Source organism: Homo sapiens, chromosome X (assembly GCF_000001405.40).
Source record: "Homo sapiens chromosome X, GRCh38.p14 Primary Assembly".
NCBI classification, from domain to species: Eukaryota; Metazoa; Chordata; class Mammalia; order Primates; family Hominidae; genus Homo; species Homo sapiens.
The window spans coordinates 78032378-78051931 of record NC_000023.11 but is presented as its reverse complement, the minus strand read 5'-3'; the positions used below and the strand labels follow the sequence as shown (position 1 = coordinate 78051931).

The 19554-nt window shown below is 38.4% G+C and overlaps 1 protein-coding gene across 3 annotated transcripts in view; it reads right to left on the bottom strand.

The window, feature by feature from the left end:
• ATP7A (ATPase copper transporting alpha) overlaps nt 1537-19554 on the bottom strand; it is a 139703-nt gene continuing 121685 nt past the window's right edge. For all 3 annotated transcript variants that reach the window (NR_104109.2, NM_000052.7, NM_001282224.2), the window contains 7 exons: nt 18111-18327; nt 12950-13096; nt 11199-11341; nt 9144-9347; nt 8498-8615; nt 6360-6462; nt 1537-5638 (listed from right to left, as the gene is read on the bottom strand). Coding sequence is in view for 2 of the 3 variants with exons in the window: in NM_000052.7 (NP_000043.4) it covers nt 5362-5638; nt 6360-6462; nt 8498-8615; nt 9144-9347; nt 11199-11341; nt 12950-13096; nt 18111-18327 (1209 nt within the window). In the remaining variant the exon portion in view is untranslated. The remainder of the gene's footprint in view (nt 5639-6359; nt 6463-8497; nt 8616-9143; nt 9348-11198; nt 11342-12949; nt 13097-18110; nt 18328-19554) is intronic.

Here is a 19554-nt window from a genome sequence, read left to right as displayed (position 1 = left end):
AGATGGATGATCCTGGAGGATGTCATTAAGTGAAATAAGCCAGACACAGAAAGACAAATACTACATGATCTCACTCATTTGCAGAAGCTAAAAAAAAGTTGATCTCATAGAAGCAGAAAGTAAAACAGTGGTTACCAGAGGTTGGGTAGGGGTGAAAAGAGGGGATGATGGAGAGAGGCTGGTCAACAGGTACAAAGATACAATTAGATAGGAGGAATAAGTTCTGGTGTTCTATTGCACAGTAGGGTGACTATGGTTAACAGTAAGGTAATTGTATATTACAAAATAGCTAGAAGGGGGGCTTTTGAATGTTCTCACCACAAAGAAATAATAAATGCATGAGGTGACAGATATGCTAACTGCCCTGATTTGATCATTATGCAATGTATACATGTATCAGAACACTGAATTGTACCCCATAATATGTACAATTAAGATTTTTTTAAAAAGAAATTGGAGTTTTGATTGGGTGAGGTGAAGCAAATAATTTTGAAGTATTGGCAGCACTTCAGTTTATAGGCAGGCCTTAGTGGGCAGAGAAGGTGATGTCAATGGAAAGCTTGGGGCCATTGAGGGCAATAGGTACAGTATGCCAAAGACTACTCAACCTATTTCAAACTTTCCAGAGGGTGACTGACCGTATAGATGTTTTCAGATTTCTTAAACTGCACAAGACCCTCTTTATACTAGCAACTTCACTTAAACCTCACCTTCAAAAGCCTTGCCTTTTGTCTCTCACTTCATTTGTACAACCAGGGGTCACATCTAGGATGGTGAAGCTGTTAAAGAAGTAGGGCTGGCTGGCCCTAGTCAAATTTGTGAAAGATGCAGCTCTATTTCCTTTTAATTTGAGCAGGGACTTTGATGCCTTAATCTAGCAAGGATTCTCCAACAGAAAGGTTTTTGTTTTGTTTTATTGATCTGGAAGGTTTTGAAGGTTCACCTGGGAGGTAGCCATCAGTACACATCCTTCTCTGAGGTCAGGATACCAATAAGAAAGGGAGGCTGGCAAGCTGAGTGGATGCCTTGGGGATTTTACTCTTATTTTGCCATTTCCCATCCTATCTCCTCACCCTGAGTAACCCCAAGGATTTGGGGGGAAATGAAAATTAGTTTTTCCTCACAAGTTTACAATGGTTTCCTTAACTCAAAAAGGAGTGTTCGGGTATGGGAATGTATCTTGGGTGGGAACTTCAAACACTCTGTATAGGGCTCCCCAATGGCAAGAAAATCTCTTTTCTCTGTTTAGCTCATTTGGAGTAGACATTCTATCAAGAATGTATTAGAGACTACAAAGGAAAGCAGAACAATAATATTCCTTCCTTTATTTCTCATCCTCACTGAATGATATGGCAGGTGTAGTGGAGTCCGAAGGAAAATAGATTTCTTCCCTCCCATCCTAACCGAAAGTGTAGTGATGCCTATAATCCACCTCCATCATAGATGAAAAGTTGAAAAAAATAAAAATATAACAAAGGTAGTTCAGAACTGCTGATAGAGGGGGTTGGATGATTTAACAAAAGAGACAGACAAAAATATTTTACAACACTATAATTATAAAGTTGAAGGCACATCCTTGGCAGAAATATGATCAATTACATGCTTATGAAAAACAAACTACTGAATATCTTAACTACAGTAGATGGATATTGCACAACATCGTCCACTGCTGTTTTCGGTACCAAACAATCAATGTTCAACAACGTTTAGCTAAACATTTCTTTAACTAAAAACGTAAGGTTGAGACGCCTGGTTTTGGCTACAAAAGGCATTTGTTATCAACACTGTGAAAGAAGCTCTTTTAACTGAAGAACAAGAACTCATGCTTTGTGCTCTATCTGGTTACTCATACCAGATGGAGGGACTGCAGAAAGTTAGTGTAAAAATAGGTAATAATTTGGCATGAATCTATATTTTTTCTATTTTGTAAAATAATACTTAAAAATGTAGAAAAGAAACAAAACAAACAAAAACCCAAAAGGAGTGATTCCAGGAATGTCTTTATTCTTTTTAAAATAACCAGTAACCAGATGCCTCACCCAGAGAAAAAAACAAAATGGAGTAAAATAAATATCAAGAAAAATCATTTTAAAGCATGATCCATAAGTAATAGAAAAAATTCTCTTAACATACATTTTTGATTTTAAGCTGTATACAGAAAAGATATGCGCACTTAAAGTTTTGGAAACATCTTGTCTACAGTGCTATTTTAAGCATTCTATACATATGAATAAAGAATACTTTTTAAAAAATTAAAGCACAATATAAAATTACTTGTTCACAAGGCATCAAATTTGACATTCTAAAATGTTGATACTAAACTAGGAAAAATAACGTTTCTATTTTCACAAATGACACACCATACATCTTGAGACTACAATACTACTACTCTAGCTGTGTTTTAATCTTTGAAATTCAAAAGGCATCTTTGGATATTTAAGTTTAAGGTGCCACATAGGTGAGTCTGAACCGGCACTGGATATTAAAGTATCCTTGTTATCTTCAGACTAAGGGCATGGTTGCTGAGTGAATACAGAAGAGTGATAAATGAAATATAAATAGAGAACTTCAAATATTCAAATATCAAATTCAAATATAAATCCATTTCCCTTCAGTATGGTAATATGTATGTATGTGTATGTACATATATATGTGTGTATATATATATGTATGTGAATACACAGAAATACACATTTATAAAATTTCTCATTACTAACTCCTGACTTAAAGCTAGCTACTAACTGAAAGCAGTATTTTTGATTCCCTCCATAATCACCTCTTTCTCCTGTAAATACAGCTTCTCTTTGAAGCTAATGAAAGTTCAAGATTGCAAAAAAGACTTGTGGTAGAGGATTCAAATGTGGCTACATATTACTTAAAGCAGGACTTTTTCTAATTAGCATGTTTTCTGTTCTTGTTGTAAGAGCTGAAATTATCTCTTTGATTATTTCAATACTACAAGCTGCTATTCCCACTGTCCCACAATATGAATACAAGACCAAGAGGATGACTCCAAGGTACACATAATAATGGAAGAATAACTGGCTGTGTTCAACTGCTTGAGGTGGGTGGGAGGGAGAAGGAGGCATGCTTCTTTTTTCAACATTTACCCTATCAGCTCTGTCTTCTAGAAGAAACAAGTTGTATTATAAGATGGGCCACTGGAATTAAAATAATAAATAATAAAACTCAAACTGAAAGCATGGAGGATGGCATAGGCATTGGTCTAAAAAAAGGGCCTAGATATGCAAACCCATTGATATTTCAGTGAAATGGGTTTGCCTTTCTAGATTAATAGCACCTTCATCAAAAGCTTCAGTTCTCTCTTTAAGACAGCTGAGACAGAAATTAGATCTTTTCTAAATCTGAAAGACAGCATGGAATAAGGTTGTAAACTTTGCATGTGTATATATGAAAGGATAAAAGAGAAAAGGGGTAGGAAAGGAAGAACTCCATCCCCTACCCCCACCTGATTTTAAGACTCTGCTCTAGAAAAATGATTTTTTTGTATTTATTACTGACCTCAAGGGGAGAAAAGAACTAACATTTACCGAGTACAAATCCTATGTGCCAGATGTTGGGTTAGCAGCAGCTTTGCTTCTGGTAATGGGAACAAAATGTTAGGAATTTACTTATGAGTCCTCTTCATTTACATATTCTGCATATGAAATCCATCTTGCAACTAACAAAGAAATTTAAATAGTCTTACAAGTACCAGATCTCTGACCAGTGTATTAGCTACCAGGCACTCACAAGGGAATTTCTAAATCCATTTGGCAATGGGAACAAGCTCCTAAATTTGCCAACCACACTAACTAGGCAAGTTCAAATGTTTTAAACTAGAGAAGAGTATATATTTAGCTAAAAAGCGTCATAACCTAGGGAAATTTTAGTTTCTGTATTATGATTTTACTGTATTTTTTGGTAAATGCAGCTTTGTGTAATAGCATTATTTTAAAGTCTTTTTGAGAGGTTATCTGAAACACTAAAAGATAAATAAAATCTATTAAATTATATATACTAGCAAAGTGATTATACTCAATTCAAAAAATACAAATTTAGGCTGGGCATGGAGGCTCACACCTGTAATCCCAGCACTTTGGGAGGCCAAGGCGGGTGGATCACCTGAGGTTAGGAGTTTAAGACCAGGCTAGCCAACATGGCGAAACCCCGTCTCTACTGAAAAATATGAAAATTAGCCGGGTGTGGTGGCAGGCACCTGTAATCCTAGCTACTCAGGAGGCTGAGGCAGGGAGAATTCCTTGAATCCGGTAGGCAGAGGTTGCAGTGAGCCAAGATGGTGCCACTGCACTCCAGCCTGGGCTGCAAAACAAGACTCTGTCTCAACAACAACAACAACAACAACAACAACAACAAACAAATTTAGTGAATCCAGGTAATTTTATATGACCTGTATATGTATAATAGTTTTAATCTTTGAAAATTTTTTGAGCAGAAAAGGCTCATAATGTTAAGTTTCCAGACTGAGATCAGCAGACTACATGAAGAATAACTTAGAGTCCAACTTGGCAGGAGTGAACTGAAACTGAGCACAGAGCTAGGAAACTTGAAGGAATAATTTGATATACTTTTTACAACAGTGGAAAGATGGGAGGCAGGGAACCCTACAGACCTTTAAGGTCTTTTGAGCTACAAAATTTAAAAAGGAGCAAAATATTAGAACAGTTGTCAGTTATTTTTAATCAATGAAAAACCACCTAAACTTGGTTAGCTCGAAAGAAAATAACAAAAGAAGACATATTGGAGCATCTAAAAAAGCACCTGCAAGGACAAGGATGCAGGGAGAATGGGGGAAAGAAAGCCTGCAATAAATAAGGCACATCTATTTTTAAACAGTTTCAACTGTTTCCCTTCTAAAACTAGATGTTTTATACACAGTGCTTTGAAAGTCATTGCTCCCCAGTGGGGCAGGGATACAGGCTTGAGAGTATCTTCAATATTTTGAGTTCAAAAGCATGAATATCTTCATGCTCTCAAATCTTCAAATTTTTCATTTTCTTCTTCTTGGGCCTTTTTTTTTTTGGTCAAATAAAAAAAAAATCACTTTAGCAGCAGTTCAGCAATCTCTAATTGTAGGGCTTGTTGTAAACCTCACTGCTCTACCTTATCTGTTGTTAGTGAAAACAAAAATATACTGGAAATTCAGTTTAAATAAAGCTAGGTTCAGAGCTGATGCCTTGAAAAAGATATTTTTGCCAACAGATAAACGCAACTCAAATAGAATCCCTAATATAAGAGCATGAGAAAAATCCTTCTACAATATTTTGAAAAGTGAAGGTAACATCATGAATGCTGTGTCAGTGCATGACAAGTTAAACTGGCAGCACTCTCCATGGCCTTTTATAATGCAGTGTCATCATCTTCCCTGAAGTCTCCCACCAGGAGTGAGTGCTTGTCAGGTTCACTGGTAACAACACTGTTTAGGGAGCGTTTATCAGACAGTAGTGAGTTTATAGAGGCTCTGCTATAATTAACAATCCGGTCCAGCAAACCCAGTTTAGGAGAATTCCTTGAGGTATCATCTATTCCAACATGAACGCTGATTTCTGAAGGACTCTTCTGTCCTATCTGGCTCCGGGCAGGCAGTTCATAACTCTCGTAAGTTGGTTTCCTGTAACTGGACATATGCAAAAGTATGCTAGTTTCAAATAACCAAAAGTAAATGAGATGCTCGCTACATGCAGAAAAGAAAGAAGATTTGCTCATCCACACTTAGTTTTGGTATGAAATGTATAAAGGTGATCACTGGTAGGAAAATAGCTTGAAACGAATTGTGTGGAGTTATATCATCAGAAACCCTACTTCTCAGAATTAGTGCACTATATTTTATCCCACTCAGTGCTTGTGGTTGCTATGCATAAAGTACACGAAGTAACAATTACATAGCTAATTATTACTGTTAGCTAATAATAATTCTTTTCTTTTTTTGAGATGGAATCTCACTCTGTTGCCTAGGCTGGAGTGCAGTGGCACGATCTCAGCTCACTGCAACCTCCACCTCCCAGGTTCAAGTGATTCTCCTGCCTCAGCCTCCCGAGTAGCTGAGATTACAGGTGTCTACCACCATGCCCAGCTAATTTTTGTATTTCTAGTAGACATAGGGTTTCACCATATTGGCCAGACTGGTCTCAAATTACTGACCTCAGGTGATCTGCCCACCTCGGCCTCCCAAAGTGCTGGGATTACAGGTGTGAGCCACCACGCCCGGCCGCTAATAATAATTCTCATTAAGAATGGTTTGGGCTTATCATTGATCAATACAAGAATAAAACCTACCAAGAATGACTAGATGATAACAGGAATACAAAATACAAATGTGAGCAAGCTATCATACTTACAGTTTAAGGAAGAGAGAAGAAAGTACTACAGAAACAGATGAAGCAGCCATTGCTGCAGATCCCATCCAGGGCTGCAAAACCAAACCAATGGGCATAAAAACTCCTAAGAAACAAGTATGGATTAGTTAGAGTAGATAATACTAAACAGATTATTAATGTGTTTCTAACATACATACAAATCATTTCTTTGTTTGATACTTCTTCAGCATTTATCCTCTTGGTGGTAGAGATTTTTGTTGTTGCCATTTTTTTCACTAACAGAGTGTTGCTGTTAACATTCTTGTACATGTCTCCCCGTGTCCATGTTTGAGAGTTTCTGTGGGGTATATACCTAGGGGTGAAACTACTGGGTCATAACATGGGCACATCTTCAACTTTACGTGGATATTCCTCAGCTGTTCTCCAAAGTGGCTGTAGTGATTCAAAATCCAACCAATAGCGTATGGGAGTTCATGTTCTACAAACTCATCCACACTTGGTTTTCACAGACATAAGAATGTTTGCTCACATGATGAGGATGAAATAGACTCATACTTTTAACTTTTTATGTGCTTCTTTATATTTTTCTACTTTTTCTATGGTGATCATATATTACTTGTATAATTATTTAAAAATCACTTGCTCCATGAATTAATCTTACTGGACTTAGATTGTTCTTTTGTTCTTTGTTCTCTCAGTATTTGTGTGTCCTTGCTGATAAACAGTTTTGTAATTGTTCTCATGTCATTTCTTGTCTTTCCTTGGCCCTCAAACCAGAGAGAACAAGAAGAAAACAATACTTATTTCTTTTATGTCATCATTACTAACTCCTACCAGGTCCCTAAGTTTAGGAGATTCTCAGATGCTTATTAAATAACTCTAAATTCTTTTTTCTCAGTTATATTGCTTTGTTCACTCTCTCTGTCATCTGGTCTCTCAACCTAAAAAAAATACCAGCTGACTATAATAGAATATTAAGTGAAGAGCAGAAAATTCTCCATAAGCTACAATCACAACTATGTAACAAGACAAAAACTGATGTAGAGTAAAAAAAAGACTAGAGGAAAATACTTGTATAATTCTTTAAAAATCATTTGCTCCATGAATTAATCTTGCAAACAGTGTTGGGTTTGGGTAGTCAGATTAAAGGTAAATCTATTTAGAAAAAAATTAATAAGCAAACAAATACATATCTCTGTGCAAATATATGCAGAAAGAGATGAAGCAATGTGGCAAAATACCATCAGTTGGTGAGTTTAGGTGAAAGGCATACAGATTTTTATTGTACCATTTTTTTCAATGTTTTTGGAGGTATGAATTTTTTTTTTTTTTTTTTTTGGAGACGGAGTTTCGCTCTTGTTGCCCAGGCTGAAGTGCGATGGCGCGATCTTGGCTCACCACAACCTCCACCTCTTGGGTTCAAGCGAGTCTACTGCCTCCGTCTCCCGAGTAGCTGGGATTACATGCATGTGCCACCACGCCCGGCTAATTTTGTATTTTTAGTAGAGACGGGGTTTCTCCATGTTGGTCAGGCTGGTCTTGAACTCCCAACCTCAGGTGATCCGCCCACCTCAGCCTCCCAAAGTGCTGGGATTACAGGTGTCAAGTTTGAAATTTTTCAAAATACAAAGTTGAAGGCTGGGAGTGGTGGCTCACAGCTGTAATCCCAACACTTTGGGAGGCCGAGGTGGGTGGATTACCTGAAGTCAGGAGTTCGAGACCAGCCTGGCCAACATGGAGAAACCCCGTCTATACTAAAAATACAAAAATTAGTTGGGCGTTGTGGCGGGCACCTATAGTCCCAGTTACTCAGGAGGCTGAGGCAGGAGAACTGCTTGAACCCAGGAGATGGAGGCTGCAGTGAGCCGAGATTGTATGACTGCACTCCAGCCTGGGCAACAGAGTGAGACTCTGTCTCAAAAAAAAAAAAAAAAAAGTTGGAGGGAAAAAAATAAATCTGTCAGAATGCTTATATATTCTTAAGCTATAACAAACATTACTGAAAATTAAAATGATTGATTTTAACATTACCTCTCACCATACCAGTAGGCTACAAACAAAAACTAAGCTCAAAACTAATAGTAAGAAGACAGGCTTCCAATATGTTAGGTCTCTAATAACTTTAGTGGAAAAAGCAGTACTAGTTAAGAGTCACATACCAGCAGCTATGGGAATTCCAACCAGATTATAAATTAGAGCAAAGACAAAATTTATCCGAATCCTCTTGACTGTCTTTCTTGATAAGTCAATACTTGCCACTACATCCAGAAGATCATTCTAAGAACAGAAATATTTGTGATATTAGTAAGAGACTCTAACTTAACCAGTAACTTTTACATTTGATACTGTGTATGTTGAAGATTACGTCTACCTTAGGGTAATATGTGAATTAATTACAAATCTCAGATAATGCTAAAACTTAGACTCAGCTTCCGAAGGTGTTTTTCAAAAATTTTCCTCAGGGTTCTGAAAACACTTTTAGGGGTGTATGCTGGTACTATGATTAAATCTACTTAAAATAATCTCAGCAACTATTTGTTGAAGATCATTTTATTCCGAATCCATTCTTAAATCTTCTTCTTCACTTCAGAAACTTATAATTCTCACTTGCTTATGAGCTGGGTTGAGAAAGTCAGGGGGTAAATTAGCATGACTTCCCATAATCCCACTCCATATTCTTAAACTCTTAATGGCTGATAGCATGGAACTTAAGACAGAATTGTTATGCTCAATATACTTTATGACATTATCATTGACCACATAGGGCAGTCTCATACTCCTCAAAGGTCAAGCCATGGCACTTACCCTTATCAAAACCACATCAGCTGCTTCAATGGCTACATCTGTGCCTGTGCCAATAGCAATTCCCACATTAGCCATTGCCAGAGCTGGGGAGTCATTGATTCCATCTCCCACCATTGCTACCCGTTTCCCCTCCTCTTGAAGTTGCTTCACTTTAGCAACCTTGTGAGAAGGTAGAACTTCAGCAAACACCTTAGTAATGCCAACCTATGTGATGAAAATAAACTCAATTCATTTAAAAAATAATGAGTACGTGAAACATAACTGAGCAATAACAAGCCATCAGTTTTCACCCACAAGATGTCCACATTTTAAAAGACTGATAATATCTAGTGATAGCAAGGATGTGGAGAAATGAGCTCTCTTATACACCAGTGGCTGGTGTGTAAATTGTAACTCTTTTTGGAGGGCATCTGGCAGCATCTATCAAAATGTGAGCATCATTTGGTCTAGCAATTCCATGTCTAGCTCTATCTTGGACAGGCTTGCACATGTACAGAAAGATACATGTCCAAAGATGTTTATTATTGCCTTGTTTGCAAAAAGAAAATTTTCAAAACCACCCAAATGTCCATCATTAGGGAAATGGTTAAATAAATTATGATACATCCATACCATGGAATTCAGTATAGAAAGAATAAAGTAACTTTGTAACTTTTTTTTTTTTTTTTTTTTGAGACAGAGTCTTGCTCTGTCACCCAGGCTGGAGTGCAATGGTACCATCTCGGCTCACTGCAACCTCCGCCTCCTGGTTCAAGCGATTCTCCTGCCTCAGCCTCCTGAGTAGCTGGGATTACAGGCATGCGCCACCACACCCGGCTAATTTTTGTATTTTTAGTAGAGACAAGGTTTCACCATGCTGGCCAGGCTGGTCTCAAACTCCCGACCTCATGTGATCTGCCCACTTCAGCCTCCCAAAGTGCTGGGATTACAGGCGTGAGCCAACAAACCCGGCCAAAATAACTTTATGTTCAGATATGGATGAAGCTCCAAAGTATACTGTTACGTAAAAAAAGCAAACTACTGAACAATCTGTTCAAAATGATCTGATGTTGAAAAGACCAGAATTATACTGTATATGTACTCTGTATATGCACATATATGCATATGAAAAAGTGGCAGTGTGAGGGGCAGTAGGACTGAATGGGGAGCATGGGGAAAAGAGGACATTTTTACTTTATATCCTTCTGTATTTTTTACATAAGAAGGTGTTAATAGGCCGGGTGCGGTGGCTCACACGTGTAATCCCAGCACTTTGGGAGGCCGAGGCGGGCGGATCACCTGAGGTCCGAAGTTCACGACCAGCTTGACCAACATGGAGAAACCCTGTCTCTACTAAAAATACAAAATTAGCCGGGCGTGGTGGTGTATGCATGTAATCCTAGCTACTCGGGAGGCTGAGGCAAGAGAATCGCTTGAACCCAGGAGGTGGAGGTTGCGATGAGCCGAGATCGCGCCACTGCACTTCAGCCTGGGCAACAAGAGCGAAACTCCGTCCCAAGAAAAAAAAAAGAAACAAAAGAATGTATTAAAAGATTACTTGCATTATTTATTAGAAGAGGGGAGAAGGCATTCCAAAGTTAAAAAGATTGAAAAATTTTAGAGATAAGGCAGATGTGGGAGTCAGGAGCAGAAAAATGGTATGTCAAAGTGGTGCATTAGGAAAATAGTTCCATTGGTGGTGGTATTTAGGATGGACTAGAGAGGGATGTGTGTGGAGCTATTGCTGTGTTTCAGGCATGAGATCAGGAGAGCCCAGCTTAGGTTGGCAGCACTGGTAAAGAATATGAGCAACATTTCAAAGGGCACATCAACAGAAATTGGTGTACAGTGTCACGCAAGCATCCCATGAACTAAGCAAATACCTTTTTACGTATAACAGCAACACACAAAGCCCAAAGTCTTTCCAGCAAAGCATGGTAAATTTTCTTGAAGGAACCAGATAGGACTACTCAGTGATAATGAAAATAGTAGGTAATGTAAATTTCTTAGCATTTGAAGGCAAGATATAAAATGTATATCAATAATTAGAAGTTATCACATACCCCTATCAATTACCTGAGAAGCAATAGATCTAGCTGTTTTACTGTTGTCTCCAGTCATCAGAACTACTTCTAAGCCCATAGATTTCAGAATATGGATAGCCAGTTCTGCTTCAGGCTTCACTGTGTCTGCAATGGCTATCAAGCCACACAGCTCATCTAATATAGGGGCAGCACAAAATAAAAGAACTTGGAATATAGTGAAAGGAGAATAACATTTTGACTTGAAATTTCAGAATGAAATGAATTTTCTCAAGTAAAGTTGTTCAGGGCATGGCTTAACTTAAAATATCTCTAAGCCCACACAGACTTTATACTACAAACTCTGTAACAAGCCTCCATATTTGGTTATGAAAATTTCAGAGTGAGGTAGGGGTTACTAATAAAGTAATCACAGGAAAATAAAAAGAGAGACCTTACTGGATATTAGAAGACCCTTTTTGTTCCTCAGAAAGGTATTTGCCAACAGCCTCAAACACTTTATCTAATTTATAGGCAAATGAAACTGAAGATTAATACTTTTTTTCTTTTTAAGGTAAGGGGGGGGGGGCAGAGAGAGACAAAATGGGCACTTTATAGTGGGAAAAATATTACCATAAATCTTATTATTTTATTCTATTTACAAAACAAAAGTAAAATGGTATTCTCTGCTTCTTCCCAGACCTAAAAAGGCCATAGTAAAAGACTGCCTTCATACTTAGCAGACATTATAAATGTAGAGTGGAATTAATCTCACAACTAGAAATTTACCCTAAGAAATAACAAAATAAAGCACATACAACCTCAAAGATATTTATTGTAGTGTCATTTACAATAGTGAAATATTAGGAATAGCCTAAATTTCCAACAAGAGGGGAATGATTATAGTGTGTAAGATTGATAAATTATGCAGTATTATAGTAAAATTATATAGCAACATTAGAAAGCATTAAGTAAAATAAAGCATAATAAAATAGTATGTGTACAAGTGATTTTAACTTTATTGAGGTAAAATTTACTTACGATAAAATGTACCCAGTAAAAAATGGTATATGTACTAATACTGTAATTCTGCAAACACACACACATTTCAAGAAAACTAGGAATGGAATATACAAAATTAAAACTGACGTTGTGGGCTGGGCATGGTGGCTCACGCCTGTAATCCCAGCACTTTGGGAGGCCGAAGTGGGTGGATCACCTGAGGTCAGGAGTTCAAGACCAGCCTGGCCAAGATGGTGAAACCCCATTTCCACTAAAAATACAAACAATTAGCCGGGCATGGTGGTGCGCGCCTGTAATCCCAGCTACTTGGGAGGCTGAGGCAGGAGAATCGCTTGAACCCAGGAGGCGGAGGTTGCAGTGAGCCGAATCACATCATTGCACTCCAGTTTGGGCAACAAGAGAGAAACTCCGTCTCAAAAAAAACAAAAACAAGAACAAAAACAAAACAAAGAAACAAACAAAAAAAACCTGACATTGTGTTAGGATGATGGGATTACGAATATTATTTTACTTTGCTATTATTTTACTGTTGCTATTTTTAGGTTTTAAAAAATCCTTGATTAGCCTTCATTTAAAACATAGGCTAGGGAAGAAAGTAACAAAGGCAGGCAAATGCGAGAGAATTTTAAATTAATCAGTAATAATCATGTGTTGTTGACATTTTCATTTTGCATTCAAGATGCTTTTGAATAACCCTCATAGTTCAGAGGTCTCTCAAAAATAAATAAATTAATAAAACAATAACAAAACATTGAGTTATAGCATACTTATGGAAAACCTTACCATCAACTGCTACTAATACAGCAGTCCGACCTTTTCTCTCATGTTCAGTCATGAAATCATTTACATCGTTATTAATGACAAGACCATTTCTAATCATCCACTCCCGGTTACCAATGAGGACTTTATACTGCTGAGCATTAAGAGCATCTGAAAGTAGGCACAGAAATAACATTTAGTAAGTTCAATTAATCTTTATAAAACCCCATGAAGCAAGTTCTTCCTGTCTAACCTTGCACAGTCACTACATTGTATTGCTCCTAGAACATAGCCTCCAACAGTGATGTTCAAATTTTCTAAGAACATACTCTGTTCTTCCATGCCTCTGGGCCTTTGCACACATTGCTGCCTTCATCTGAAATGTCCTTATCCCTCCTCTCCAGACAGCAAACTCAATCACATTCTTCAAGAGCCAGTTCAAATATTACTTTCTTGGTGAGGCTTTCCCTTTGACCTTCCATAAAAATTCAATCAAATTTAAAAATACTTACTGTGCATCAGTAGCTGAATGTGGCTAGATGAACATGTACAATCATGCTGACATCTCATTTTCTTTAAGTGGGCTCTTAGTGCTATCTGGCAACTTAACTATATTTCCCTAGTCCATTCATTCTCCATTTCTTCTAGGTGGCTATTTCATACCTTCTCATCTCCCTTCAAATCTCCAACTTCTCCTGCCCCATCCTAATACCATATGATGACTCTGCTTCCTACTTCAGAAAGAAAATAGAAGCAATCAGAAAAGAACTTCCACAGCTCTCATTGCCGCATCCACTCAACTACCTGTGCCTCCTGTGTCTGTGTATCTAGCTTCCCTTCTGTTATTATAAACTGATTCTGCTCCTAATTTAAGGCCAACCTTTCTACTTGTGCACTAGACACCCCCGCTCCTTTGCCTATTCTAGAACATCTCTCCAACCCAACAATTCTCCCCGCCCACTCCTGCACAACTTTTCTCTGCTGTACATTGTCCTATCTTAAAAAAAAAAAAAAAAAAAAAAAAAACCTTTCTTGATCTCACCCACCTCTCTAGCTACCACATTTATCTGCTTCTGTACATAGCAAAACTTTCCAAAAGTATCTCTATTGGCTGTCTCCAATTCATATCTTCCCATGTTCTTGTGAACCTACCCCATTTATTGGGGTAGTCAAAAGCTTTATGCTTTTGACTCTAATACTCCAGTGAATTATTACAGCCAGTGACCTTTACTTTAATAATCCTAATAGTTAATTCTCATTCCTCATCTTACTTGTCCTATTAGCAGAATTTAACACAGCTGTTCACTCCCTCCTGGAAATACGTTCTTCATTTGGCTTCTAGGATACCACATTCTTAGGGGTTACCTCCTAATTGGCCACTTCTTGGCCTTCTTTGCCCATCCCTCCTCATCTCCCTAACTTCTTAATTTATAGTGCTGCAGGATTCAGTACTTAACTCTCTCTTTCCCTTTATCTACTCTCACTCCTTGGGGTTCTTATCCAGTCTCATGGCTTTAAATACCATCTATACCACTGCAGTCCAAGAGAACTTTCTGTGATATTAGAAATGTTCTATATCTGCTATGTTTAATACAATAGCCACTAACACACAGATGTGGCTATTGAGCACTGAAATGTGGCTAGTATGACTGAAAGATGAATTTTAAATTAAATTAAATGTAAATTAACTAATTTAAAGAGTCACATATAATTAGTGGCTATTTTCCTAGACACCACAGATCTATAAGCAGAGGACTCCCAAATCCATCTCTCTGATTCAGTCTGTTTCCTGGAATTCCAAACTTATGTAGCCAACTGCTTACTTCATATTTCCATTTATATGATATCACCACTTGGGATATCTCTAATAGGTACTCAAACTTAACATGTACAAAACTGAACTCCTGATCTTTTTCCCAATACCGTCCCTCCTGTGGGATCCCCCATCTTATTTAAATGATAACTCCATCCTTCTAACTGCTTAGGCCACAAACCTTGGCATAATTCTTGACTCCTGTTTGTCTCATACGCCATATATATCCAACCCATGAGAAAAATCTGTGACTCTCCTTTTAAGACACATCTAGAATTCTATCATTTCTTACAACCTCTGCTATACTGGTCCAAGCTACCATTATGTTTCACCTCGATTATGACAATGTCCACCAACTCATCTCCCTGCTTCTGCCCTTGCCCCGAATCCCCGCAAGATTCTCTCCTGCCTCAGCCTCCCGAGTAGCTGGGATTACAGGTGCCTGCTACCACGCCCGACTAATTTCTGTATTTTTAGTAGACACAGGGTTTCACCATGTTGGCCAGGCTGGTCTCGAACTCCTGACCTGAAGTGATCCACCCGCCTCAGCCTCCCAAAGTGCTGGGATTACAGGCGTGAGTCACCGCGCCCGGTTTACTTTTAAAATGTTAAGTCAGATTTTGTCCCTCCTCTACTCAAAACTGTCATATTGGTTTTGTCCTTACATATCTAGTCCCAAACCACCTCTCTGACCTTGTCTTATACCCCTTGCCCATCCATTTACTCTGCGCTTGCCACACTGTTCTCCTTGCCATTCCTCAAACAAGTCAAGCACACTCCTGACTAAAGGCTTTGGTACTTACTATTTCTCCTGCCTAGAACGTGTTTGCCACAGAAATCCACATAGCTTTTTCTCTCATCCCCTCAGATCTTCGTTCAAACACTACCTTCTCAGTGAGGCCTACCCTGATCACCCTATATGAAACAGAACCCACTACTCCCAGCACCCCTATGCCCCTTGCCCCACTTAATTTTCCTCCACAGCACTATCTCCATTGGAATTATTGTATTTTCTTATTTGCTCACTCTCTTGTGTTCTTCCACCAAGAATGTAAGCTCCATGAAATAAGAACTTAGTTTATCTTGTTTACTGCCGATTCTTTAGTGCCTTGAACAGTGCATGACACACAGTAGGTGCTCAATAAAAGCTGTCAAATGAATTTCCTATTTGTCACTGTGCTTGATACTAGAAGTTCATAGACAAATAATAAAGAAGTCACAGACTAGTAGAAACAGGCAGGTAAATATATAATTATCATACACTGTCCTAGTACAGTAACAGAGATTAAGTACAGTTATGATTCAGGAAGAAGAGCAAATACCTCTGTCAATATATGTCAGTCAATGAGGGTGTCACTGAAGAGAGAGATATAAGCTGGGTCTTGAAAGATAAGCGTAAGTTCACGAGATAGATGCCATTTGTGAACAAGAACATTACATAGAGAAAATGGTAAATGAAATGATCTAATAAGGAAATGACACACCGTAAGGAAGAACTGTAAGTAGTTAGGTAGGGATGGAACATGGAGTACATATGCGGTAGTGGAAAAAGAAGATGAGTGATGCAGGGAGGCAGGAGACATATCATGGGGAACAGATCTAAAACAAAGTCCAGAGAGACTGGACTTTGTCCCATAGGAGAGAGAGACCCATTAAAGCTGGGATCCTTAACAGAGACCCGTGGATGGGTTTCAGGATACATGTGCATCTCTTGAAACAAAAATTTTCTGAGGGGTGGGCCCATAGCTTTCATCATATTCCTCCAAAGGTCTATGGCTCAAAAACAGCTTATAAAACACTGTAATAAAAGGTACTGGTTAGAGAGTGACACGACTAGATTTCCATGTTAGCAAAATCACTCAGGCACAAATCGGGAGGGAGGTGTTGGAACACTTAGGTGGGTAGATCATGTTTTGGGGGCAGATAGATAGATCGGCATGGAGCCAAGGAAACAGGACTTAGCTAAAGATATGGATTTTAGAGCGGTAGTGGAAGTCTGTGGGTGGTAGACTAAGTGATGAGCATGAATAAGATTGTACAGAGAGAGTATGTATTATAAAATGAGAAAAAGACAAAGAACAAAACCCTGACGACATACGACATTTGAAAGCAAGAGAAATGAGGAACCAAAGGACAATTAAAAGGAACAGCCAGGGGTGCAGTGGCTCACACCTGTAATCCCAGCACTTTGAGAGGCTGAGGTGGGTGGATCACTTGAGGTCAGGAGTTTGAGACCATCCTGGCTAACATGGTGAAACCCCATCTCTACTAAAAATACAAAAAATTAGCCAGGCATGGCTGCGCACACCTGTAATCCCAGCTTCCTGGGGGCTGAGGCAGGAGAATTGCTTGAACCCAGGAGGCAGAGGTTGCAGTGAGCTGAGATTGCACCACTGCACTCCAGCCTGGGTGACAGAGCAAGACTCCTTCTCAAAAAAAAAAAAAAAGGAACAGCCAGGGAGGTGAGAGGAGAATCTAGACAAAGCAGGGTCATGGAATCATCCTTTAGGAAGGAAGGGATGGTCAACATTGTCAAATATCTTAATGAGGTCTTGCAGGATGAGGACTGAAAAGTGACCACTGGAGAGAGCAGTGAGGTCAATGGTCATCAGTTAACTTAGAAAGAACGGATTCAGTAGTATGGATGGGGGAGAAGCCAGACTGCAATGAACTGAGGCATGACTGTGGAGTAAGTGAATTCAACAAACCTAGATTACCATTTCTAGAACTTGGATATAAAAGAAAAAGACAGAATCTATATGGGAATATAGATGGGAAAGGACAAAATCTAGATGGGAATATAGTGATTTTGATGGAAGAAATGTTTATATGTTTAAGAAAAGAAGCTAAAACAGAAAGAGATGAAAAATAAAGCAGCAAGGGGACCTAACAGAAAGAGGGAGGTCCCTGATGAATCAAGAGAGGGTGGGATCTAGATGAAGGGATTCATTAGGCAAGATGAAGGATACTGCTTTCCCTGAAAAAAGGAATGATTCTGGGCAAAAATATGTAAGAACACATGCCCAAGAACCATAATTTTCTATATAAAAAATAAGATAATTTGCAGAGGGACAAAGGAGAGAGTCACAGGATCTTGTGAAAGATAGAAAAGGTTTGGAGTAGTTGTAGTGACAAAAGAATGATCATGGATGATCAGCTAAGGCTAGACCTCATCACCCTATGGTGGTGTCAATGACCACAGTTGGGAAATATTCTTGACTAATTTAAATGATCAGAAGGCATAGGGTATTGACTTGAGGAAATGAAATTATGATGCCAATTTTTGTTTCTTCTATAACAGTTCAGGGTTATAAAGTTAGCCATCTGTTCATAACTGCCCCATAATTGGTACTACAAAGAAAATTAGCTTACTTGAGATCTGGGCATCAATAATCATGGAAGACGAAGTTGATGACTGTTCATTACTGGCATCAATTTGAACCAGGGATGCATTTTTAATATTATTGTCCTCTATATTCCAGTTATTCTTATGTAGCAAGCCTTCAATATTGGTGACTTTACAGCTAATACCACAGCCTGGCACAACCTGGAAATCTATGCAGGTACCCAAGGTTTCAGTGTCCAGCTCCTAACAAACAGAAACAAAAGGATTTCCTCTACTGTTCTGATAATGCAAGGTCATTCATTAGCAAGATAAAAACCCCTAGTTAATTCTAAATGTTTATAATAAAATTGTCACATATTGCCTACTTGACAGTGGATTTTGATAAGGACAAAGGAATAGAGCATCAAACATAACATTCAAAGTTACAGAAGAGCCTCAAAGTCTTTGTTTTGACCAGGCACAGTGGCTCATGCCTGTAATCCCAGCTGAAGAAGCCGGCTGGGAAGCCGAGGTGGGCAGAGGGACCAGGCTGGCCAAAATGGTGAAACCCTGTCTCTACTAAAAGTGCAAAAAAATTTAGCCAGGTGTGGTGGTGCACACCTGTAATCTCAGCTACTAGGGAGGCTGAGGTAGGAGAATCACTTGAACTCAGGAGACGGAAGTTGCAGTGAGTTGAGATTGCGCTATTGCACTCCAGCCTGGGTGACAGAGTGAGACTCTGTCTCAAAAACAATAATAAAAAAAAATCTTTGTTTTAATCCCACTCTCTAAAATTTATAGAAAACATGGAAAGCTTATCAGTATTCTCTGCTCTTTCCAGTAGATAATTACAAATTAAATTTTTAACTCCATAGTCAAGTCAGGTTTTCTACTCAGTACAGGGCAAAGAGTAACAAAGTATAGGGCCTTTAGTTACCGGAGGCTCTCCATCTGCTCTATAGTCTACATCTTTAGCAAGCCGAAAAGTTCTGGGGGCCCTCATTGTTTCCTAGCTTTTTATAGCTTCATCCTCTCTGCTGTTTGATTTGGGTGTAAGGAAGCCAGGTCAGTAATAGGTAATAGGTAAAAGAGAAAGAACAAATAAATAAATGGCAACACCAATGGTAGAAACTGCCACGTTTTAAGTGTAAAATTAATGTGAGACAATTCATAAAGAACTCATGCAAATGAATAAGAAAAAGACAAACAACTCTGTGGAAAAATAGGTCATAGATACAAACAGGTTAGAGGAAAAGAAATTCAAATGGTCAATACATATATAAAAAGATGCTCAACCTTATTCATAATTAAGGAAATGCAAAGCAAACCATCAAGTAAATATTTTTTCACCTATTAAATTGAGAAAATAAAAATAAAGCGTTGGTAAGAATGTGGGGAAATGAGCACTCATAACTTTTGGTGCAGGTATAAATTGGTATAACCCCTCATGTATATTGGTAATATTCATCATATGGGTATTGGTAGCATTCA